Raw genomic sequence first — 25,022 nt, 5'->3', positions numbered from 1 at the left:
TCTAAACAAATGAAATCTCTATATTGCTAGATAAAGAATTCAGAAGGTTGATTATTAAGCTACTCAGAGTAGCTTAATACTCCTTCCCTGTTTCACCTTTCTCTGATTCAGAGAAAGGTGAAAACCAACTTAAAAAAAATTTAAAAATAATACAGAATATGAATGAAAAGGTCTCCAGAGTAATAGATATCTTAAAGAAAAGACAATCACCACTTCTGGAAATGAAAGACAGACTTAGAGAAATGCAAAATACACTGGAACTTTCAAAAATAGAATTAAACAACTAGAAGAAAGTACTTCAGAACTCAAAGACAAGGCTTTCAAATTAACCCAATTCAATAAAGACAAATAAAAATGAACACACCTGTAATCCCAGCACTTTGGGAGGCTGAGGCAGGAGGATCACTTGAGTTCAAGAGTTTGAGACCACACTGGCCAACATGGTGAAACCTCATCTCTACCAAAAAATACAAAAATTAGCCAGACAGGGTGGTACACACCTGTAGCCCCAGCTACTTGGGAGGGTGAAGTGGGAGAATCACTTGAACTTGGGAGGAAGAGGTTCAAGTGAGCTGAGATTGTGCCACTGCACACCAACCTGGGTGACAGAGTAAAACATGTCAAAATAAAAAAAAAAAGAACAAAGCCTCCAAGAAACTTGTGATTATGTTAAATGACCAAACAAAAGAATAATTGATATTCCTGAGGAAGAAGAAAAATCTAAAAGTTTAAAAAACTTATTTGAGGGGATATCAAGAAAACTTCCCTGATCTTGCTACAGATCTAGACATCCAAATATAAGAAGCTCAAAGAACACCCTAGAAATTCATTGCAAAACTATAATCACCTAGGCACATAGTCATCAGGTTATCTAAAGTCAAGATGAAGGAAAGAATCTTAGGAGCTATAAGGCAAAAGCATCAGGTAATCTATAAGGGAACACCTATTAAATTAACAGCTGATTTCTCAGCAGAAACCCTGCAAGCCAGAAGGGATTAGGGTCCTATCTTTAGCATCCTTAAACAAAATAATTATCAGTCAAGAATTTTGAATCCAGCAAAACTAAGCTTCATAAATGAAGGAAATAACGTCTTTTTCAGACAAACAAATGCTGAGAGAATTTGTGACTACCAAATGAGCACTACAAGAAATGCTAATAGGAGTTCTAAATCTTGAAACAAAACCTCAAAATACACCAAAATAGAACATCCTTAAAGTATAAATCTTACGGGGCCTATAAAGCAATAACGCAATGAAAAAAACAAAAAGTATTCAGGCAATAACTAGAATGATGAATAGGACAGTATCTCACATCTCCATACTAACATTGAATGTAAATGGCCTAAATGCTCCACTTAAAAGACACAGAATGGCAGAATGGATAAAAATCCACTAACCAAGTATATGCTGTCTTCAAGAGACTCACCTGACACATAAGAACTCACATAAACTTAAGGTAAAGGTTTGGAAAAAGATATTCCATGCAAATGGAAAAGTGAGCAGGAGTAGCTATTCTTGTATCAGACAAAACGAACTTTTTTTTTTTACTATATGCATGTATCATACTTTGTTTATCCATTATCCAGTAGAAGGACATTTGGACAGTTTGGACTGTTTGGTGATTATGAATAAAACCACTATGAACATTCACATATAGGTGTTTGTATGAATATAGGTTGTCATTTCTCCTGAATGAACCTGGGGGTAGGGTTGCTGGATTGTATGGGAAATGTGTATTTAATTGTAAAACAGATTTAAAGCAACAACGTTTTAAAAGAAACAATGGACTTAAACTATACTCCACAAAAAAAAATGGACTTAACAGCTATTTACAGAACATTCTACACAACAACTGCAGAATACACATTCTTTCCATCAGCAAATGGAACATTCTCCAAGATAGACCATATGACAGGCCACAAAACAAGGCTCAATAAACTTAAGAAAATTGAAATTATATCAAGTACTCTCTCAGACTACAATGGAATAAAACTTGAAATTAACTCCAAAGGGAACCCTCAAAACCATACAAATACATGGAAATTAAACAGTCTGCTCCTGAAAGATCTCTGGGTCAACAATGTAATAAAGATGGAAATTAAAAAGTTCTTTGAACTGAACAACAATAGTGGCGCAACCTATCAAAACCTCTGGGATACAGCAAAAGCAGTACTAAGAGGAAAGCTTATAGCATTAAATGTCTACATTAAAAAGTCTGAAAGAGCACAAATAGAAACTCTTAGCTCACACCTCAAGGAACTAGAGAAACAAGAAAAAAACAAATCATTTCTTTTGTTCAACCAAAAAACCCAAACCCAGCAGAAGAAAAGAAATAACAAAGATCAGAGCAGAACCAAATTAAATTGAAGCAAACAACAACAAATAATACAAGAGAGAAATAAAACAAAAAGCTGGTTCTTTTAAAAAATACACAAAATCGATACACCATTAGCAAGATTAACTAAGAAAAGAAGAGAGAAGATCCAACTAAGCTCAATTAGAAATGAAACATGAGATATTACAACCAATAGCACAGAAATAAAAAAGATCATTCAAAACTACTAGGAACATTGTTATGCACACAAACTAGGAAACCTAGAAGCGATAGATAAATTCCGGGAAATATACAACCTTCCTAGATTAAACCAAGAAGAAATAGAAACTCTGAACCGACCAATAACAATAGCAAGATTGCAACAGTAATTTAAAAAATTGCCAATATAAACAGTCCAGGACCAGATGAATTCACAGCTGAATTCTATCAGACATTCAAAGAAGAATGGGTATCAATTCTACTGAAACTATTTCAAAAGATAGAGAAACAGGGAATCCTTCCTAAATTATTCTGTGAAGCCATTATCACCCTAATACCAAAACCAGCAAAGGACATAACAAAAAGAGAAAATTACAGACCAACATCCCTGATGAACATAGATGCAAAAATCCTCAACAAAATACTAGCTAACTGAATTGAAGAACATACCAAAAATATAATCCACCATAATCAAGTAGAATTCATACCAGGGGTGCAGAGTTGGTTTGACATACAGAAGTCAATAAATGCGATTCATCACACAAACAGAATTAAAAACAAAACTCTTATGATCATCTCAATAGATGCACCGGAAGCATTTGACAAAATCCAGTATCGCTTTGTGATTAAAACTCTCAGTAAAATCAGCATAGAAGGGACATACCTTAAGGTAATAAATGACGTCTATGACAAACCCACAACCAACATTACACTGAATGGGGAAAAGTTGAAAGCATTCCCCCTGAGAACTGGAACAAGACAAGGATGCCCATTTTCACCACTTCTATTCAAAATCATACTGGAAGTCCTAGCCAGAACAAGCAGACAAGAGAAAGAAATAAATAGTATCTAAATGGGTAAACAGGAAGTAAAAACTGTCACTGTTTGCCAATGATATGATTGTATACCTCAAAAACCCTAAAAACTCATCCAAAAAGCTCCTAGATCTGATAAATGAATTCAGTAAAGTTTCAGATACAAAATCAATGCACACAAATCAGTAGCACTGCTATACAACAACAGCAACTAAGCTGAGAATCAAATAAAGTACTTAACCTCTTTTACAACAGTTGCAATAAAATAAAATAAAATACTTAGGAATACACCTAACCAAACAGGTGAAAATCTCTATAAGGAAAACTACAAAACACTGCTAAAAGAAGTCATACATGACCCAAACAAATGGAAACACATCCCATGCTCATGGATAGATAAAATCAATGTTGTGAAAATGACCATATTGCCAAAAGCAATCTATAAATTCAAAGCAATTCCTATCAAAATACCATCATCATTATTCACAGAACTAGAAAAAACAATCCTGAAATTCATGTGGAACCAAAAAAGCCTGCGCAGCTAAAAAATGACTAAGCAAAAAGAACAAATCTGGAGGCATCACATTACCCAACCTCAAATTTTACTACGAGGCTATAGTTACCAAAACAGCACGGTACTGGTATAAAAATAGGCATGTTTTTAGACTAATGGAACAGAATAGAGAATCCAGAAATCAAGTCAAATACTTACAGCCAACTGGTATTTGACAAAGCAAACAAAAACATAAAGTGGGGAAAGGACACCCTATTCAACAAACGGTGCTTGGATAATAGGCAAGCCACAGGTAGAAGAATGAAGTTGGATCTTCATCTCTCACCTTACACAAAAATCAACTCAAGATAGATGAAAGACATAAATCTAAGACCTGAAACCATAAAAATTCTAGAAGATAACATCAGAAAAACTCTTGTAGACATTGGCTTAGGCAAAGAGTTCATGACAAAGAACCAAAAAGCAAATGCAACAAAAACAAAGATAAACAGATGGAACCTAATTAAACTAAAAAGCTTCTGCACGGCAAAAGAAATAATCAGCAGAGTAAACAGACAACCCATAGAGTGGTAGAAAATCTTTGCAAACTATGCATTCGACAAAGAACTAATATCCAGAATCTATAAGAAACTCAAACAAATCAGCAAGAAAAAAACAAATAATTTCATCAAAAACTGGGCTAAGGACGTGAATAGAAAATTCTCAAAAGAAGATATGCAAATGGCCAATAAACATATGAAAAAAATGTTCAACATCACTAATTATCAGGGAAATACAAATCAAAACCCCAATGTGATAACATTTTATTCCTGCAAAAATGGCCATATTAAAAAATCAAAAAATAATAGATGTTGGCGTGGATATGGTGAAAAGGAAACACTTATACTGCTGGTGGGACTGTAAACTAGTACAACTACTATGGACAATAGTGTGGAGATTCCCTAAATAACTAAAAGTAGATCCATCATTTGATCTAGGAATCCCACTACTGGCTATCTACCCAGAGGAAAAGAATTCACTATATGAAAAAGATGCTTGCACATGCATGTTTATAGCAACACAATTCACAATTGCAAAAATATGGAGCCAGCCCAAATGCCCATCAATCAACATATGGATAAAGAAAATGTGTGGTATATACATACCATGGAATACTACTCAGTCATTAAAAGGAACAAAATAATGGCATTCACAGCAACCTGGATGGAGTTGGAGACCATTATTTTAAGTGAAGTAACTCAGGAATGGAAAATCAAATATCATATTTTCTCACTTATAAGTGGGATATAAGCTATGAGGATGCAAAGGTGTAAGAATCATATAATGACCTCTGAAATCTTGGGGGGAAGATTGGGAGGGGAGGTGAAGAATAAGAGACTACACATTGGGTACAACGTACACTGCTCAGGTGACGGATGCACCAAAATCTCAGAAATCGCCACTAAAGAACTTACCCGTGTAACCAAACACCCCCTGTTCTCCGAAAATTATTGAAATAATAATAACAACAAATAAATTTAACGTATGTTCTGGAATAATCAGTGCATGCACATTCAAAAGATACCAAAGGTTATACAAGGAGGGAAAAAAGCAAACATTTTTTTCCTTCTCCTTTCTCCAGCCATCCCAATAGTCCCTGGAGGTAACTCTTGTCCCTACTTTCTCAAATAGTCTTTCTTCATGTGGGCTATGTGATTAATAACATACATGTATTCTTTTGTTTGATTTTTCCCATAATTAAATGGCAGCACACTCAATATGCTGTTCTATAAGATGCTTTTTTCACTTCACAAAACATCTTAGATGTTGTGTTGTATCTCTATCCATCTATCTATTTAGAAATTGCCTTACTCTTTTTAATAGTTCCAGAGGGCTCTATTGTAGGGATACACTGTATTCTCTATTGATGGACATTTACATTATTTCCCCTTTTTTTTGCTAGTTCAGTGATGCAGTGAATATCCTTGTACACATATGAGCTGCTTTGCATATGTGCTAACATGTTTGTAGGATAAATTTCCTAGGAGCCAAACTGCCACATCAAAGTCGATGCACATTTTAAATGTTGATAGCTATTGCCCAATTGCTCTTTACAGAGCCTGTCCCAGTTTACACTTCCACCAGCCTCACCTTATTTAAATCCTCTGCAGAGCAATTACCACTTTCCAATATTGTCTGTTCATTGCTTTTCTCCCCCAGGGTGGAAACCATTTCATTGCTGCTGGGCTCCTGGGGCCTAGATCATTGTCTGGTAAGCTCTCAATAAATAGGCTTGGAATAAATGAACAGACAATTGAAAATGGACACAGTAAAAAGAACAAGAAGCTTGGCATTCAAATGACATCAGGTTCAAATCCTGGGTCTGTCATAACTCTTTGGCCTTGGGGCAAATTATTTAACCATTCTGAGCCCCATTTCCTCATCTGGTAAACAGAGATAAAAATAACCGCTACTTTGAAGACTTACTCTCAGGACCAAATAGGATCATAGCTGTGACAAGTGTTTTGTGACCACAGACAGCTCCAGCTCTGTGCCGTTACTAGGATCCTGGGCTGATGAGAAACCATCTCCAGCTAAGAGGTAAATCCTAAATCAATGCACCATTTAAACTTAGTGACCACGCATGTTGAACACCATAAACTTCCAATGAAACCTGTAGAAAGCACAAGGATAATTTGGCAGGGCTTCTACTGGCTAGTTCTTATTGAATAGAAGGTTGATTTGCCAGCAAATACTCCCTACAGAGAAGCAGATGTTTGGAGCCCTAGGCTTAAAGTCTACCAAAGAAATCAGGGCACACTAGTTTTTCTAGAAGATTAAAAATAATGTCCATTTAAAGATACTGCTGATGCCTGGGGTGAGGTGGGACAGGAGTGAAAGAATATGTTCTAGCAAGGGTCAGGGGAGACACCTTTTCTTAGGGGTGTAAGGGTTAGTTCCCAAAGGTGGAGGACTTCCCCAGATAGTGAGCAAATAAAAGATTTAACAGCTCCTACGGGAACTAGCCAGAACCAATTACAATCAGGACTAGCCTGGCTTAGCATAAAAAGTCTGGTAGAAAACTGCATGCTGAGAAATTGAGTGTCTTATTGGGGAGAAGGGCTGGCTGGTTTCCAGAAATCACCGGGCATAAGGCCACCCTGATGTCTCTGTTTTAGATTGTGATTGACCACTGAGTAGCTGCCCAAGTTGAGACGCTCTGCTCAGCCCCCAGCCTGACAGGACAATTGGCCCACACTGCCCCGGAGGCTGCTGGGCAGGAGCTGGTAATTGACAGAGAACTCATTATCGAAGGACAGAGCCTCTGAGCATGCTGGGAATTGGAACTGACAGAGCCCAAGGGCCTGGGAATCGGATCACTGGGAAGAGACAGCCCAAGTGTTGTGTGTCCTGGACGTACAGAGGAAAATAAAGTTTCAGAAATTGCTCGGCACTAAAAGAGAGCTCTGGTATTGAAAGCCATCTCTGATCCGCTCTCCATGTGGCTTTGGGCATGCAATTGACCTCTGTGAGCTTCAGTTTTGTCACCTCCAAAATAGAGATGACAATAAATCTTTTTCGTGGAGTAAGAAATAAGGATGCTGTAACTATGACATTGATGATCATCATTATAACAACTAGCAGCTATTTCACATCCTCCAGATGCCAGAGACCATTTGAAGAGTGCTAAAAATGGGCCAGGCACAGAGGCTCACACCCGTAATCCCAGCGTTTTGGGAGGCCCAGGCAGGAGGGTCGCTTGAGCCCAGGAGTTTGAGAATAGCCTGGGCAACATAGTGATAACCCTCCATCACTACAAAAAATCAGAAGGGTGTGGTGGTGCACACCTGTAGTCCCAGCTACAAGGGAGGCTGAAGTGGGAAGATCGCTTGAGCCCAGGAGTTCAAGGTTGCATGAAGGAGTTCAAGGTTGCCATGATCACACCACTGCACTCCCGCCTGGGCTACAAAGCAAGATCCTCTCTCATATAAAATAAAATAAAAATAATATTAAAATGCATTAACTGTGTGATCCTCACAACAAGGCCTATGCTGTTATTCTCATTTTATAGATGAGGAAAGGAAAGAATAGAGATAAGATGTCGCCCTAGGTTAGATAGCTAGAAGCTGGCAACGTTCGAATTTGAAGCTGAACATTCTGGCTCTGGAGCGCATTCTGTTAACCATGTGCTCGTCAACCTGGATAAGAAGCACAAAAAGAAGAAGGGCCCCTGCAGCACCTGGCAGAAAGAGGTGTTCAATAACAATACTTTCTCCTTTCTCCTACCCCTCACGCCCACCTAGGAGCATTCTAGACTATCTCTAATTTAAAAATCTGATGTGTGCCAACCCCATAGCTGGCGAGGAACAAAGTCTTCCATAATCCTCTATAGGATTTTTAGAAGTTCAAATGCTTTAAATAGTCCAGTTCCCAAAAGACCGAGTCCTATTGTCCAAGAAGTATAAAAACCTCCTGCTGTCCTTAACCTCGAAAGACAAGAATGATTTGAGTAAATTGAACCTGGGGAAAAGCAATCTCCAGGTAGAGGAACCAGCGGGATGAGCTTTGAGGGCTGAGCATTCAAGGCGCAGATGAATAGCATGTCCTCACCAGGGGAAGCCGCAATGCCAGGGGCTGGGGAAAGTTAGCAGGGGGAAGGTGGGGAACATGGCAATTCAGAAAGATTGTAACGGATCACGACTATTACGCCAAAGGCTTTAGAATTTAGGGCATCCCAGAGGCTTACTTGTGCAATGAATCTGTCCTTTACACGTCTGTCTTCCCACCTCAGTGTCACATAGGGAACCCACACTCCATCTACTAGGTAGAATGGAGCCCATTACATATTGTATTACTTTCTTGTTGCTGTTGTAACAGATTTTCACAAACTTTGCAGCTTAAAACAACATAAATTGAATATCTTATAGTTCTGAAGTTCAGAAAGTCCAAAATGGACTTAGGGGGCTATAATCAAAGTATCAGTAAGACGGGGTTCCTTCTGGGGCTCTAGGAGAGGACATGTTCCTTGCTTCTGCAGCTTCCAGAGGCTGCTTGAATTTCCTGGCTTGTGGCTGCATCACTCCTAACACTGTTTCTGTTATCACATCCCCACCGATGCTGCCGCTCCAGCCTTCCTCTTGTAGAGACCACTGTGATTACATTGGGCTCAGTCAAATAATCTAGGATAATTCCTCCGTCTCAAGATTCTTAACTTAATCACGTCGGCAAAGTCCCTTTGCCATGTGAAATAACATATTTAGAGGTTTCCAGAATTAGGACATGGACATCTTTGTGAGGGACATTATTCGGTCTACCACATCTCTATTCAACAATGTTAACCTCAAGAAAGTAATCTAATATCCTCGTGCTTCAGTTTCCTCATCTGTGCAGTGGATTAAATAATACCATTTACTCCACAAAGTGGTTCTGAAAAGTAAGCGGGTGAATATTCATAAAGCACTGCGCCCTGGGCTGGCACTGCCCAGCTGCCGAGCACAATGTGATGGGGGATCCAAGAGGGAGAGTGACCCCACCCTCCCCTTCCTTCTCCCAAACTCAACTGGGTGTAACGAGGATGCCAAGACCCCACACCTGGCCCCATTGTTCCTTGGAGTGCCCCGCTCTTCCTGCTGCCCCAGTGCTTCACACCTGGTGTTGGTGACCCCCTGAGCCTCACCTCCCGCCTCAGCCCCCACCAGGCCTCCAGTGTTGGGTAAGTCACCTATGTATTCCTAATACACTGTGCTGTTTCTCTCTGATGCGGCTCCTCCACGACGTCCCCTGGGAGTCCATCATCCCAGGGCAGCCTTTCACCCCTGGCTGACCCCCAGTTTACTTTCAGAAGGAGCTCAGCTACTTCATCTTTGTAGCGAGCTTCTTCAGCACCCACGGGCTGGTGCAAGAACCCTTCTTGGTTCCCAAGGCTGTCCGCCCTCGCTCATACTATGTCACATTTTGCATGACATTGTAGATAGCTGTCACCTTTGCTGCTCCCTCTAAGGCCTCTGAACTCCCCAGGGGAGGACTTTCCTTTTCCAGCTTCTAGAGGCCACCCACATCAGCCTGCATTAGGCCCCAGAATCAGCCCTCAGCCAGCGACGGACAGAAGAAGTGGAGGATAAATATCCGAGCTTCCTTGCCCCTCAGTGGAGACAACTTTGCATCACATTCTATGTAATCTCTCAGAGCCCCCAGTGGACTGAGATCAGCTGCCCACAGTAGTACCTGGCTTCATAACGCACCCTTAAGTGACCCTCTTTCCCTCGCCACCTCCCCACATCCTTATGATACAGGAGTTAAGAATAAATTACTTAGGCAGATAGTAAGGGCATGGGAGTCCTCAGTAATGCTATTCTTTTTAATGAAAAGCAGCCCCAAATCATTTTCTAACAAAGAGCAGCCTGCAAGCTGGGAGCTTGCACGGGTGAATGCCGGTAGGAACTAAGGACTAGATATTTTCAAGATGGAGGCTCCATCTTCCCTTCTCTGCCAGCCAGGTGTATTGTAAGGAGCAGATAAGATGGCACGGATCAACTGGAAAGCCCATTTGCATAAGAAGATCAGGGTGGGCGACCAGCCTTCCCTGCGCACTATGTAAACGTCATACCTGATCTAGCTAATCTGTGAGCCCCACGTAAATCTGACACCACGTCCTCAAAGTGAACTATAAAACTCAGCGCATTTGCCACCAGCCGGTCCTTTACGTTGAGAGACCCCTTCCTCTATAGAGTAAGCTATTTCTCTTTCTCTTCTCTTCCACCTATTAAACCTCCGCTCCTAAACTGCTCATGCGTGTCCATGTCCTAAATTTTCCTGGCGCATGACAATGAACCCCAGCTTATATACTCCAGACAACGTAGCCCCTTCAATTACAGGACTAGTGTTTCCTGGGATGATTTTTCAAACAGAAAACTTGCACCGAGTTATCATCTCAGGGTGTTAGGGGACCCAAACCAAGACAAAGAAAGAAAATGTATTTGGGATGACTAATTTAATGTTAAAGCATAGAACTGGTACAAGAGAAACTGAGGAAATGAGGAAGTCTCTGAGAATCCTTGAAACTTTCGAAGTAAGGGAGAAGTCTGGGTTTTTACCTCTACATGGGATAATTGTTTAAATACTAAATGATGGCCAGGTGTGGTGGCCAAAGTGCTCCCAGCATTTTGGGAGGCTGAGGCAGGAGAATCGGTTGAGCCCAGGAGACCAGCCTGGGCAACATTGTGAGACCTCATCTCTACAAAACATTTTAAAACATTACCCAGGAATGGTAGTGTGCGCCTGTAGTCCCAGCTACTCAGGAGGCTAAGGTGGGAAGACTGCTTGAGCCCAGGAGGCAGAGGCTGCAGTGAGCTGTGATCACACCACTGCATTCCAGCCTGGGCAACAGAGTGAGACCCTGTCTCAAAGAAAAAACAAATAAATAAATAAATATTAAATGATGACTCCACGCAGCCAGAAGGTTCGGATCCACACCAACAGAGGGCACAAAAGATGTACTCATTTCTTGTATCCCCCCAACAAGGCCCAGCCAGGAGCTGAGCTCACACAGTCATCCCCTTAGAGACCCTCTCTTCTCTGGGCTTGTTTTGATCCTTTGTTGCAGAGCATATTTTTGTGCAGTCAACTGTGCACCCAGAAGAGGGGGCCAGGCAGGGGGCCTCATTTACCCCCATGCCTGGCACAATGTCCGGTGCAAAAATCACTCACCTCAGCTGGATGATTTACAATTTGGTGACACCCCTCCCACCCTCAACATGTCCAGAGAGCTAAAAGAAGTTAATCATTAAACAGATTGCAGTAGAAGGGCAGTGCGTCTCCAGGGCCTCCCACAGCACATTGCATGTACTTGAGAAAGGAGGGAAGATTGGTTCTAAGGCCACCCAGGGAACTTCTCTTGGTGCTTCCCTGTGGAGCCCCACGGGCTGCCCTGGGCTCCCCCAGCCCTGAGAGATAGTTATTGTCTAAGCAGAAGCTATAAAGCTATCTGTGTTCCCCAGAGCTCCCCTACCCCACTCTGTGGCTCAGAGGTCCTGCGGTAAAGATCCTGGATGCGATAGGTGGTTTCAATGAGGCCTCTTCTCACCATCCGCCAGCTGGGCATAGCAAGCCATTGTCACCTGGGACCTCAGTCAATGTTCTCACAGACCCAGGATAGCCAGCAGAGCACGTGGTCTCACTTAAGCCCCTGTTATGAGTCTCGCATGTGACAATCCTAGGATCCCGCCTGGTGTTAGTTGGCATTACTGGGGTCTCTCAGGCCACAATTCTGGGGCTAAGAAAGGCTCTGTTCCTCTCCCCTGGCTCCTCGCCCTGCAGTGGGGCTCTTCCCACCACATCTAAGGGAAAGGAAAGCGGCAACAGCCACCAAGAGGCAGCCCCTTGGTTGCACATAATGAGAACATTCTAGAACTTGAATTCACATCTCACTGAACCCCCAGTGCTCCTTTGGGGCACCCACCCAGCTGGCCATAGGTTTGGAAAAAGACACCACTCTCTGTCTGGGCAGCTGAGGTCCTGCTCTTTTCAAGGTTTAGCAACTTGAGGGAGGCGACCTGCAATTTGCAGAGGCTGCTGACAAGCCTGCAGAGTGGAGCGCAACTGTGAAACTGTGAAAATGCTCTGGCCACAAATGCAGGAGTCAGTACCCAACAATGACAACAAATCACCCCTGGGGGCCCTCCACCTCCAAACATCAAATAGCATAATGGCCTTGCTGCTAAGTCCATCAGTGTCCAGAGAGGCTCAGTGCAATCCATTCTACCCATGCCGTTCATTGGAAATGTGGATGCAGCCATATACAAGGAATGTGGAGGTTTTGTGAAAGCTGCCCCACCAAGCTATGCATGGTAAAGGCTCTTTCAAACAGCCTTCCTCCACAGCAGGGATGTCCTGGCCCATCTAAGCTGTATTTTGTTTGTTTGTTTGTTTCAATAGTATCAGGCTTAATTTTAAAAACAGAAATATCAATTAATCTATTTGTAATTAATTGAATTAATTTTTAAAACAAATACATATTTTAAACAGATATACATGGTGCATGGTTGAAGTCCCAGCATTCAGGCATTTCAACATGTCTATGAAAAGAGTCAAACTGTGAAATATTTGAAGATATTTCTTCTGAGCCAAATATGAGTGACTATGGCCCATGACACAGCCCCAGGAGATCCTGAGAACGTGGGCCCAAGGTGGTCAGGCGACAGCTTGGTTTTATACATGCTGGGGAGACATCAATCAATACATGTAAGATGCACACTGGTTTGGTCTGGAAAGGCAGGACAACTTGAAGAGGGTGGGTCAATTGGCTGAAAGGGTTAAGTTATTATCTAAAGACCTGGAATCCATAGAAAGGAGAGTCTAGGTTAAGTAAGGGATTGTGGAGTCCAAGGTTCTTATTTTGCAGATAAAACCTCCAGGTAGCAGGGTACAGAGAGAATGGATGGTAAATATTCTCATCAGATTTTAAAAGGTGCCAGACTCAGTTAATTCTCTCCTGGATAAGCGAAAAGACCTGGAAACAGAAGGAGATTCTCCATAGAAAGTACATTTTCTCCTCAAGGGACAGTTTCACAGACCATTTCAAAATATGTGAAAGAGGCCAAGCGCGGTGGCTTATACCTGTAATCCCAGCACTTTGGGAGGCTGAGGCTGAAGTATCTCATGAACACAGGAGTTCGAGACCAGCCTGGCCAACATGGCAAAACCTCTTCTTTATTAAAAATACAAAAATTAGCCAGGTGTGGTGGTGCAAGCCTCTGATCCCCGCTACCTGGGAGACTGAGGCAGGAGAATCACTTGAACCTGGGAGGCAGAGGTTACAGTGAGACAAGATCCTGCCACTGCACTACAGCCTGCGCAAAGCAAGAATCTTAAAAAAAAAAAACAGCCAAAGACATCTGTTTTGTGGTAAAATACTTTTGTGGTAAAATTTCTTTCAGGGCCTGCTATTTTTCATGTGATACTATATTAGAATTAGGTTGGAATTTGGTATCTTATTGCTACCAAATATTCTGTTTTGTCATTCTAAAGATCTTTGTTTTCATGCTAATGCTGGTCAGTTGTGCCTGAATTCCAAAGGGATGAGGGTATCATGAGGTATGTCTGACCTTCCCTTCCCATCATGGCTTGAACTAGATTTTCGGGTTTATTTTGGAATGCTTTTGGCCAAGATGAAGGTCCAACAGTTGGTTGGGAGGCTTAGAATTTTATTTTTGGTTTACAGGTGGTTGGAAGAGCTCTGGGAGGAGCCCAAAGGTCAAAGGTCAGGACCTGTCCTGGGAGGAGGTGTGCGTGGGTTGGTGGTGATCTCATCCACACAGGTGTAGAGTCCTGGCTTGTTAGGAGTGTCACGCAGGGGTAAAGATGGTGGCATACCTGCCCAAGGCTACATCTGGGTCAACCGATGACTCAAGCAGCCCGGGAGAGTAGACAGACTTGATTTCTCAAAGAAGTCTTCACCTGTTTCCACAGGTTCTGAAGCTCTGGCCCTTGCCAACCTCTGCTTCCAAGGAGTCCTTGCACACCCCCGCACCAGCCTTACGGGATTAGTAACATTCCTTTCTCATAGCTACTAAGCTCCACTGTGTGCCAGACTGGCTATACACATGTTTCCAGCCCCACAACCACTCTTGGAGACGGATTTAAATAACCTCTTTGTGCATATAAGCTAACTGCAGTCAGGGACATAAAGTGACTTGCCCAGGGTCACACAGATGAAAAATTTCTGGGCCAGAATTGGGATGCAAGTTTATTTGACATCAACCCAGCCTCATGCAGTGCATTACAGAGTCCAGAAGGCTGCAGATTTGCTTGGAGGTGGCTCAGGCAGAAGCCTGACGGCTGCACATGTAACCTGAGGACATCTGTCCTGGAGAGCCAGCTCCTTACCTCTGCCATCAATGGGCTCGGCCAAGGTCAGCTGCTCCCAGCATCTGCTGGCTGGGGCTTCAATCAGCTATTGAGTGATGGCATTGAGGCACCTCTTTGGGTCTGTCATTCTAAAGAAGCCCAGGTCTCACTTTGGCAGGTAGACTATGAAAGATACGAAGAGGGATCTCTGAGCACACCAGGGTTTTTCACCCTTTGTGATGCTGCACATGTTTCTCTGTGTGCATGTGTCCCGGTGAAGCCACAGTGTCTTCAAGTATCTGCTCCGACATGACCTCTGCTGGTCCAGTACCTCCTTCTTCCAGCCCTGCCACCTCCTCTATGCAAGGGCAATGCCTTGTCCTCATGCTTCATCTTTGCTGCATCACATTGTGTTGTGATTTTGTTGGTTGTGCTTCCATCTTCCTCGCCAGTCACAAGCTGTTGAGGACATGGGGAATTGTTTCTTCTGGCTCATGCATCTCTCCACCTGCTGGGACTCACTGGCACTTGGCACATAGTAAGAGCTCAGGACATGGAATTAGCTCAATCTGGTGTGACTTGATTGGAAAGGGATGTGGGCAGAAGCCCTGGATCCTGACTCGACAAAAACGTCAGACTTCATGTGCTCCTGCACAGATATCAGCTGTTCCTGTACAGGAGGAAGAGATGGAGGAAGGGAAAGAGAGGGAGAGGTGATCAGGAGAAAAACCTTTCTCTCTTTCACTGAACAAAAGCCCCTGCTTTAATCTGATTGGAACAACTTGAGCCAATCATTGTGGTCAGTGGTGAGTCAGTGAATTGACTGGCTTGAGCCTAGGGTACTAAACAGATCTGTCTTGGTGGGTAGGCCTATGCACACCTGTTCCAAAATCTGAGGAAGCTGAGAGGCCGGGGAAAGAGGCTGACATATTGTTTTTCAGAAAGCAACATTTAGCAGAGACTTACAAACAAGCTCCAGTCTCCAGAGACATGGTCTCCCTGGGCCATTACCTTCAGACCCAGGGAAGAGATGTGTAGGACAATTGAAGTGGACCTCTCAGGGAAAGGGAAAGACAAGAATGAATGTGAATCTGCCTAAGGGCAGGATTTATGTTCAAGATAGTTTAACCTAATGGCAGGATTTACTAGGTAAGTAGATGCTCTTACGCAAGGAAGAGTAGATAAAAGCCAAATCTTAGAGGCATCCCGGAACTGGGGTTAATCAGAGGTCAACGTGGCAGATCAGCATCCGAGATGGAGCTGCTTCTGCCTCCACGCAATCACAGCCTGGCTTTCCCCAACAGAATCACTCCTTTGAGGAGGTGGAGTCCCACATGGAAAAAGTGCAGTGACCGCAGGGAGGAAATCACCATCCTAATTATAGCTTCAGTCCAGGCCAGGCGCCAGCTCCCACTGCCTGAGGACCAAATTCGGCCACTGCCTGTTTTTGTAAATATGTAATAGAGTTTCATCGGATCACAGCCACACTCATGCATGCAGCCTATGGCTCCTTTCACAGGATAAGCATAACTGAGTATGGCCCCAGAGCGGAAACTATTTACTACCTGGCACCTTACAGAAAATTGTTGCCCACCCGTGATCTCCAGAGAACCGAAAACACTTGCTGCCATTTCCCCAAGCCACCCACTTCTTGCACTGTGGGCGTCTTCATTGTTCAACTCTTCTTCAGTCCCTGAGCAGGCCAGGGATCTTCCAGTTAATGAACCTTTATCCTTAATTAAACAAACTGGAGTCTGTTTATAGTGCATACAATCCCCAAAACTTCAAAACACACAGTTCCACCCCCCACTACAACCACGATCACCACACACACACACGCACACACACACACCCTCTCCTAGGTGTATTTCACAGCATCTTCCCACGAGAGGCCCCCTCAGATTCCCAGCATGGGACTCCACATGGGTTATAGAAAGTAAACCCATCTTTGAGGCCTTTTTCCCATAGGAAAACTGCACACAAAGGGCTTCATGTCAACATGTTACTGGTGGAAGGTGTCCAGGTTCTTGGCATCTTGGACAAAGAATAGGACAAAACACACAAACAAAGTGAGGAAAGAATGAGGGATTTATGGAAAATGAAAGTACACTCCACAGGGTGGGAGTGGGCCCAAGCATAGGGGCTCAAGGGCCCTGTTACAGAATTTGCATGGGTTTAAATACCCTCTAAGGGTTTCCACTGGCTACTTGGTGTACGCCGTATATAAATGAAGAGGCTGAAGTAAAGTTACAAAGTCATTTACTCTGTGTCTGCTCTAAGGAGAGGATATTTCCTGTCACAGCTGAAGTGTGAATTGGCCTTATATTTCCTGCCTCCAGACCCTATTTTCCTGCTTCAAACATGCCTTGGGTCAAGTATTTGAAAACAGGGTCAGCCCTGAGCACAGAACTAATTGGAATTCCCGACACTCCCCCAGCATTCTCTTTCTCATCTGCCCTAACACCAACCTCTCCCCAGCTGCGAAGTCAGAAATGATCTGTGGCCACTAGTACTTCACATCTCCCTGAAATATTTTATCAACAACACAGACTCAGTTTACATGGTTAGTTGCAGCTTCACAGGAATCCCTTGCACCTCACAGAGAAGTGTTTGTTACCCAGGCCCCGTGCCCATCCCTGGGTGCTCCTGAGAGGCCCAGCACACGAGGCTGGCACAGCAGTCAGGGCCTTGAGGTCCCACAGCTCCCATGGAGAGCATTCACCCAAAAAACAGTGTCCCTTGGGTCCCATTTGTGGAGACGCCAATGTGCATGAGTCCTGGTACCCCCTGGAGATGTCTAATGTGGTGGTGCTGGCCCAAAGGGAGGACTCCTCAGATAGTGCTCTTGGGAAGTCCAGCTGTCCTTGAGCTGGACATGGTGCTGTGGAGCTGAGTGACAGGTGACAGCAGCCTCTTCCTTCAGTAATTTCTGTGGATGACTTAAGCTTTTGTTGTGATCCGGGCTCTGCCAGGATCTGGGGTGGGAATGGGGCAGGAAGGCACTGCTGCAGATGGGGGACTGGACAGATGAAGATAGGCAATGCAAAGATGCCCTAATTAGGACTCACTGGGACATACAGGGTGTTAGAAGGGCACATACAAATAATAATCATTGCTAACATTTATATAATGCTTCATATGTTACATGTGGCAGGTGTTGTTCTAAAAGCTTTGCATATATCAACTAATGGAATTCCAAAGGTGAATTCTATTATTTTCTTCGAAGTCACTCAGCTATAAATGACAGAGTTGGGAGTCCATGAACGGGATTCTGTCCCAAAGGCAGTACTGGGTGTTTTCACATACACAGAAAACCACGAGGGAGGTATGGGTCTCCTCACTGAGGAAGGAGGAAGGTGACTCAGAGAGGTTGTGCAGCTCCCATGTCGTCACACAGTTAATGAGCAAAGATTCAAACTTAACATATTTTGGACCATGGCAATGGCTTTATGAAACACAGCTTCTCCATTCAAGATGCTAAAACATTAATTGAAAAACATGAAAGGTAGATTAAGGGAAAGTGACATTGCAAGAAACTTTGCGTTAGAATGGGCATCAGAGCTCACCTCTCCCAGCCTGTGACCTACATGATAGATGGCTGTGCAGCAGCTCAGCCAGGTCCACAGCCAGCCCCTAGGAAGTTCCTTATACCCATGGAGCAGAGTACCCCAACTCACAGAGCAGCCTTCCTCTGGCTGAGGGGAGTCTTTCTCAGGAGGCTTACATCTCTTCCCCTAAGGCACCTATGACTATTGCTTCTCGCAGAGGTCTTTAGGAATATGAAGACAGATTGTGTTGTTTGGAATGACATCTGGGCAAGGAACGCACCCTCAGGACATCCTGAGTTTTGGACGCCACCTCTGCCATCACCCTGCTTGATTGATGGAGGACGATGTCCAGAACCAGCATATCAACACCGGGGGTTTTGTGACCACAGGAGATTGAAAGATGGTGAAAAAATAAATAAATTAAGGAATGAATGAGAAAATGAAGAAGTGCATAAGTGAGTGTGCCAAGTCCCAAAGCCCTCAATAGAAAAAGGTCTCTCTCCCAGTTACTTACAGTAGATGTAGCAAGAATGAAGAATAGTGTGGTCCTAGAGCAGTTTCTTAGGAGCACAGATTTGTTCTGAGAAATTTTTCATATCTTACCCTTTAAGAAAGTTCTGATTCTACCTCTGCATAAGGCCAGTGTGTGTCACAGGCAGACATGAGGACAGGATGATGCCTAAGGCAGGTGTGGCTCTTGCTGTCATGGAGACTATAATCTGGTGAATTTGGATATTATTTTAACATATCCGTTCATTCAACATACACCAACTGAATATCCTCTATAAGCCAGACACTAGGAGCACAAAGAAAAGAAAGGCCAGGGCCCCTCCATTATTAAAGTATACGGAGACAGAGAAGTCAGGCGACAACGTTAGTGGAGAGCTTAGAGGTGACTGCAGGATGCTGTGGGCACCCAAAGGAGGGAGCTTGGAAAAAGAGAGTGAAAGGAGGCTGGAGACAAATTGTCAAGTACCATGGGGACTTAGGACACCCAAGGTGAACAGAGTATTAAGGCACAGAGGTCTGAAGAAAGCACAGCATCTAACCATCTATCCACTATCTAAGCATCCGCCCATCCAAGCATCCAGACAGCAAATACTTATGAAGCTCCTCCAGCCACCCTGCTCTCACGCCAGGAACCCATATCCCTCCTGGGCACCTAAACGCTCTCTAGTCTGCCTGCTTGGCTCCGTGGACACGGACCCTGCTTGGCAGGCCACCATGAGATTGCACCAGCCTCCTGTGTGTCTCCATCCATGCTCCATGCAGCAGCCCCAGGGAGCTGTCAGAAAGGGTAATTTGAATGTGTCATTCCCCTTCTGGAAGCTTTCATTGTCATCGTAGTGCCCTTGAGAGAGATGACTCACAGGCCCTGCTGATCCTGCAGCTTCTCCTCTTGCCAACCTCATCCTTCCCGGACCCCGGGACCCTACACCTTGCACACTCCTCCCACCACATTCTGCTCTCACATGTATCCTGGCCTCTGCTTTGCATGCTCTTCCCACCACATTCTGCTCTCACATGTGTCCTGGGCTCCGCTACCTCCAGCTTCCTGCTTAAAAGAGAAGTTGAGGAAGTGCATGATAAGAGGGGTCTGAATTGCGGGGTGATAACTGAAAGAGAAAGAGTGCGATAGAGCAAATAACATTGTGTGAGTAGGAACTTAAGATCCGCCAAGTGTGATTAGAATCATGGCATAAGGGGCTCTCAAACAAGCTGCCTCCATGGCCGGAGTTCATGGGCCATCCTAGATTGCTCCCTGTGGATCCCTAGTGACTAAGGGACCCTTTTGATTATGATCATGTGGCCTAGCCAACCCCTTTAAACTTGGAGAGAAAACCACCATCATGACTTTTGAGAATCATGTCCTTTCACAAGCGGATGGGGTTGTAGTTGTGTCATTCCCTTATTCACACACTCATTCATTTGACAAATATTCGGTGGGTATAATAAATATAAATATTTATTATACACTAGAAACTGTGCTAATTACTAAGATAAAGTGGCGAGAAAAAAAAGAATAAAAACAAAAAAATTACAATGCCTATTTAAAGTTAATCTGGTTTTCAGCACTGTCCAATAGAGACATAATACAAGCCATATATGTAATTTTTGATTTGGGGGGAGTTATATTAAAATGTAAAAAGAAATAGTTGAAATTAAATTTAATTACAAATTTTATTTGATCCATTAATCCAATGTTATCATTTCAATGCGTAATTACTACAAAAGCTATTAATTTTGCATTTTGTGTTCTTTTTCTCCCACATCAAGTCTTCAAAAATCAGTGCGCATTTGATACTTGCAGCCTATCTGAATTTGAACTAGCCATATTTCAAACTCTCAACAGCCACATGTTGGTGGTTATGGTATTAGACAATGTAGGTCTAATTGGAAAGACAGAGTGTGGAAACAAGTGACGTTAGTTGTAACCTCTTTTGAGAGAATGGATGAAATCAATGAAACAGCATTGAGTTAAGAATCCACAGAAATGGGTTTTCCTCGTAGATGTTCCAGTAACTCACTGGGTGAGTCCATGAAAATTAATTTGCCTCTCTGTGTCTCAATGGTCTTACGTGCAACATCAACTATCAGTAGAAATAGATACCTAGATATTTATTTATTTATTTATTACATTTAATACCTGAAGATGACTTAGAATAATGTGTGTGTGTGTGTGTGTGTGTGTGTGTGTGTAGATGGCAAAGATAAACCAATAGGTAGAAATTGAAAGACTGCTTTTAATTTTTAATTTGGGGAAGGAAAAGGTAGCTTCAAGTCTTCATAATTCACTTTATAGCTAGCATCAAAATAGCCTCCAGGTAGATTAAAACAGTAAATTATGACACATTAAAACATAAAAACCTATACTAAACTAGATTTTCTTCTTATCAAGTATCTTTAACACGAATGGCTTTCTAAACTTTAAAGTTGTTTGAGGAGTCTGAAATGAAAAAAATCAAGAAATATGACTTAAAAGGCTAAACTCTCATGAAAATAAGCACTTAACTACAAATTGATTTCAAAAAAAGTGTCTGGAGAAAAATTGTCACAACTATGACTGTGCCCATGTAAATTGATAAAAAAATAATATATTGAGACCTCAAGATGTGAATGAGTGAAGAACAGAAATGAACACTTTCCAAAAATGTTCAAACTTGCTAAAAATCAATTAATGGAAAGAAATACCAATTTACTCCCATTATATTAATATTTAAAAATAAGAATTCACAATGCTGTTGAGGGTGTCACCAGAAATGTATAGGATCCAGAAGAAAAGTGAATGCAAGAAGTAAAAAATCATTCTAATTGTGAAACCAAATCATTATCATCTAAACTCAGCCTACCTTACAAGACAGTGGATGTGAGCAAAGCCCTCTGTAATCTGTATAATGTCACAAAAGCATAAGAAATCTTTAATATACGGTAGCCAGGCTGGGCGCGGTGGCTCACGCCTGTAATCCCAGCACTTTGGGAGGCCGAGGTGGGTGGATCATGATGTCAGGAGATCGAGACCATCCTGGCTAATGTGATGAAACCCCGTCTCTACTAAAAAAAAAAAAAAAAAAAAAAAAAATTGGCCAGGCGTGGTGGTGGGCACCTGTAGTCCTAGCTACTTGAGAGGCTGAGGCAGGAGAATGGCGTGAACCTGGGAGGCGGAGCTTGCAGTGAGCTGAGATCCACTGCACTCCAGCCTGAGCGACAGAGCAAGACTCCGTCTCGATAAATAAACAAACAAACAAACAAACAAACAGTAGCCAACAGGCTCTAGCCTGGCAGGCAGCTATTGCCTGAGATTCCACCATTCATCTCTCTTCATTGGCTTGATTCAACTGGCATAATTTTTATTGAATTCCCTTGTTAGATACAAGAGTTTGGATTGAAGAAAACAAAAGTCCCTGCCCAAGAGGCTCAGAGGCTAAGGAAGGAAGCAGACAGTGGAAGAGCTGTTGTCATAGAAGTGTGCACAGAGAGGACATTTCTGGAGAAGGAATCCTTCTCCAGGGTTCCTCCAAATACTCAAGTCCCCAGTGGTGGAAGGCCTTGGGACCCCAAAGGCACAGGGAGAGTCATCTGTTTATTCCTCTGGGTGGTGGAAGAAGCAGGAGAGGGGGCCACGGTGAAGGGTGAGCAGACAGAGGCCCTTGACATTCAGTCCCCGCCCCAGGCAGAACAGAGACCCTGCTAAGACAGGTCCTGCATTCAGGTTCTGACATTGCCATTTTTTTCTTGGCCTCTGGAAATACTCAGTCCCTGACCTACAAAAGGGAGCCCCGCATTCAAACAGCAAGGGCACACTGGGAAGAGGCTGTGGAGATGCTTTGTGAACCATAACAAGTGCGTCCTCAGTGACATTCCCATTTTCTTTTGTGGCCACTGGGCTAGACACAGAAGTAGCCCCATCACTGCACCACAAACCCATGTCAGTAACATGGAAACAGACGCATCATGGAAATGAACCAAATATGAGATGGGCAACCACCACTTGGTGTCTAAATAAGGCTGTGGTTCAACACAGGCCTTGAAACAATGTGGTATAGCTATGACAATTTACATTCACACACACACACACACACACACACACGATGCTCATTACATATAGCTAAAATAAAAGACAGCTCACAAATGTCCCACTAAGATGTATGTTTTCTATATGTGCGTATTTCTTTACATAGCTGCATATATGCAATACTAGAAGGGTAGTTAGGAGGTTTTATTTCTGGATGGTAACATTACGGGCGATTAATGCTTGCTCTTGCCTTATCTACATGTTCTGACTGTCTCATAATGAACATATATGACTTCTGTAATAAGAAACATAATGAAGGCTATTTTTACTTTTTAAAATTTTTATTATTATTATTATTTGAGATGGAGTCTCGCTGTGTCACCGAGGCTGGAGTGCAGTGGCGCAATCTCGGTTCACTGCAACCTCCACCTCCTGGGTTCAAGCGATTCTCCTGCCTCAGCCTCCCGAGTGGCTGGGATTACAGGCATGCACCACCATGCCTGGCTAATTTTTATATTTTTTAGTAGAGACGAGGTTTCACCATGTTGGCCAGGCTGGTCTCGAACTTCTGACCTCATGTGATCCGCCTGTCTTGGCCTCCCAAAGTGCTGGGATTACAGGTGTGAGCCATCGCCCCCGGCCTGAAGGCTATTTTTAAAACTAACAAGTGAACATGTCAAATCAGCAAAACTAGATTTAAATGTAAACTAATAACAGCTGCCATTTGCGAATTGCTGTGTTCTTCCTCTTGAGCTGAGAATCCCCTGCAGATTTGCGTTGGCCTCACAATAGCCCTGTGAGATAGGTATGGTTTGTCCCAAGTCACAGCTGAGGGAAGGGGCCTCAGAGAGTCTGAGGGACTCACCCAAGGCCACACAGCTGGTGACTAAAGCTGGGAGTTGTCCTCAGCCCTGGCTGGCATGGAAGTCTCTTCTCTTGATCGCTTACTGATACTATCTCCTAAAAAGGGAACACCTCCAAGAAATTTCTCCAGTAGCTCCAATGTGTGCCCGCTCTGCCATCCTGGGGCGAGGGCTCTGAGCAACTTTTAACTGAGACACAACTTCCTCAGTGGACCGATGGAGATGATTGTAAAACTGCCTCATGGTCACAGCAAACCCTGCCCTGGAAGTTGCAATGCACTAGTCACGGTTCTCAGCCATAGATACACATCTTTATCCTCATGTAATCATTTGCACTAACCTTGTAAGACAGACACTAGTCTCTGCATCCAACATATGAGAAACGTGAGCTGCAGGGGGGTTACACCCTCTACTGGATTGAATAGTGATCCCCAAAAAGTCATGTCCAGCTGGAGCCTCAGAATGAGGCCATACTGGCTTAGGGCAGTCCCTATATCCAATGACTGATGTCTTTATATAAAAGCCATGTGAAGACAGAGGCAGAAGAGAGGTGTGGTGCATCTACAAGCCAAGGAAGACCAAGCATTACCAGCAACACCAGAAGCTAAGAAAAGACAAGGAAGCATTCTCCTGCAGAGTCTTCAGAGGTGGATGGCTGAGCCAACACCCTAATTCCAGATTCTGGCCCCCGGAACAGTGAGAGAATAAATGCGTGTTGTTTTTTTGTTTGTTTGTTTTTGTTTTTATTTATTTATTTTTATTGATCATTCTTGGGTGTTTCTCGCAGAGGGGGATTTGGCAGGGTCATAGGACAATAGTGGAGGGAAGGTCAGCAGATAAACAAGTGAACAAAGGTCTCTGGTTTTCCTAGGCAGAGTGTGTGTGTCCCTGGGTACTTGAGATTAGGGAGTGGTGATGACTCTTAACGAGCATGCTGCCTTCAAGCATCTGTTTAACAAAGCACATCTTGCACTGCCCTTAATCCATTTAACCCTGAGTGGACACAGCACATGTTTCAGAGAGCACAGGGTTGGGGGTAAGGTCATAGATCAACAGGATCCCAAGGCAGAAGAATTTTTCTTAGTACAGAACGAAATGAAAAGTCTCCCATGTCTACTTCTTTCTACACAGACACAGCAACCATCCGATTTCTCAATCTTTTCCCCACCTTTCCCCCTTTTCTATTCCACAAAACCGCCATTGTCATCATGGCCCGTTCTCAATGAGCTGTTGGGTACACCTCCCAGACGGGGTGGTGGCCGGGCAGAGTGGCTCCTCACTTCCCAGTAGGGGCAGCTGGGCAGAGGCGCCCCTCACCTCCCGGACGGGGCGGCTGGCCGGGCAGGGGGCTGACCCCCCACCTCCCTCCCGGACGAGGCGTCTCGCCTGGCGGGGGGCTGACCCCCCCACCT

At 43.5% G+C, this 25,022-nt stretch overlaps 1 long non-coding RNA gene across 1 annotated transcript, besides 3 other annotated features; it reads left to right on the top strand.

Annotated features, from left to right (window-relative positions):
• Positions 1-6,059: 6,059 nt before the first annotated feature.
• Positions 6,060-7,861, top strand: LOC101927798 (uncharacterized). Its single transcript, NR_125422.1, has 3 exons — positions 6,060-6,113; positions 6,297-6,442; positions 7,021-7,861. It is a non-coding gene; the product is annotated as an uncharacterized LOC101927798 (long non-coding RNA).
• Positions 11,714-12,214: an enhancer, noted in NCBI's record as "H3K27ac hESC enhancer chr8:134783441-134783941 (GRCh37/hg19 assembly coordinates)". NCBI's record gives its function as "activates a minimal SCP1, AML or CMV promoter by ChIP-STARR-seq in naive H9 embryonic stem cells {active_cell/tissue: H9 hESC(naive)}" and the evidence as "EXISTENCE:reporter gene assay evidence [ECO:0000049][PMID:30033119]".
• Positions 13,673-14,293: an enhancer, noted in NCBI's record as "NANOG-H3K27ac hESC enhancer chr8:134781362-134781982 (GRCh37/hg19 assembly coordinates)". NCBI's record gives its function as "activates a minimal SCP1, AML or CMV promoter by ChIP-STARR-seq in naive H9 embryonic stem cells {active_cell/tissue: H9 hESC(naive)}" and the evidence as "EXISTENCE:reporter gene assay evidence [ECO:0000049][PMID:30033119]".
• Positions 24,266-24,911: an enhancer, noted in NCBI's record as "NANOG-H3K27ac hESC enhancer chr8:134770744-134771389 (GRCh37/hg19 assembly coordinates)". NCBI's record gives its function as "activates a minimal SCP1, AML or CMV promoter by ChIP-STARR-seq in naive H9 embryonic stem cells {active_cell/tissue: H9 hESC(naive)}" and the evidence as "EXISTENCE:reporter gene assay evidence [ECO:0000049][PMID:30033119]".

This window comes from Homo sapiens, chromosome 8 (genome assembly GCF_000001405.40).
Source record: "Homo sapiens chromosome 8, GRCh38.p14 Primary Assembly".
NCBI lineage: Eukaryota > Metazoa > Chordata > Mammalia > Primates > Hominidae > Homo > Homo sapiens.
Note: the sequence above shows the minus strand (reverse complement) of the source record. Positions and strands in the feature narration are given on the sequence as shown.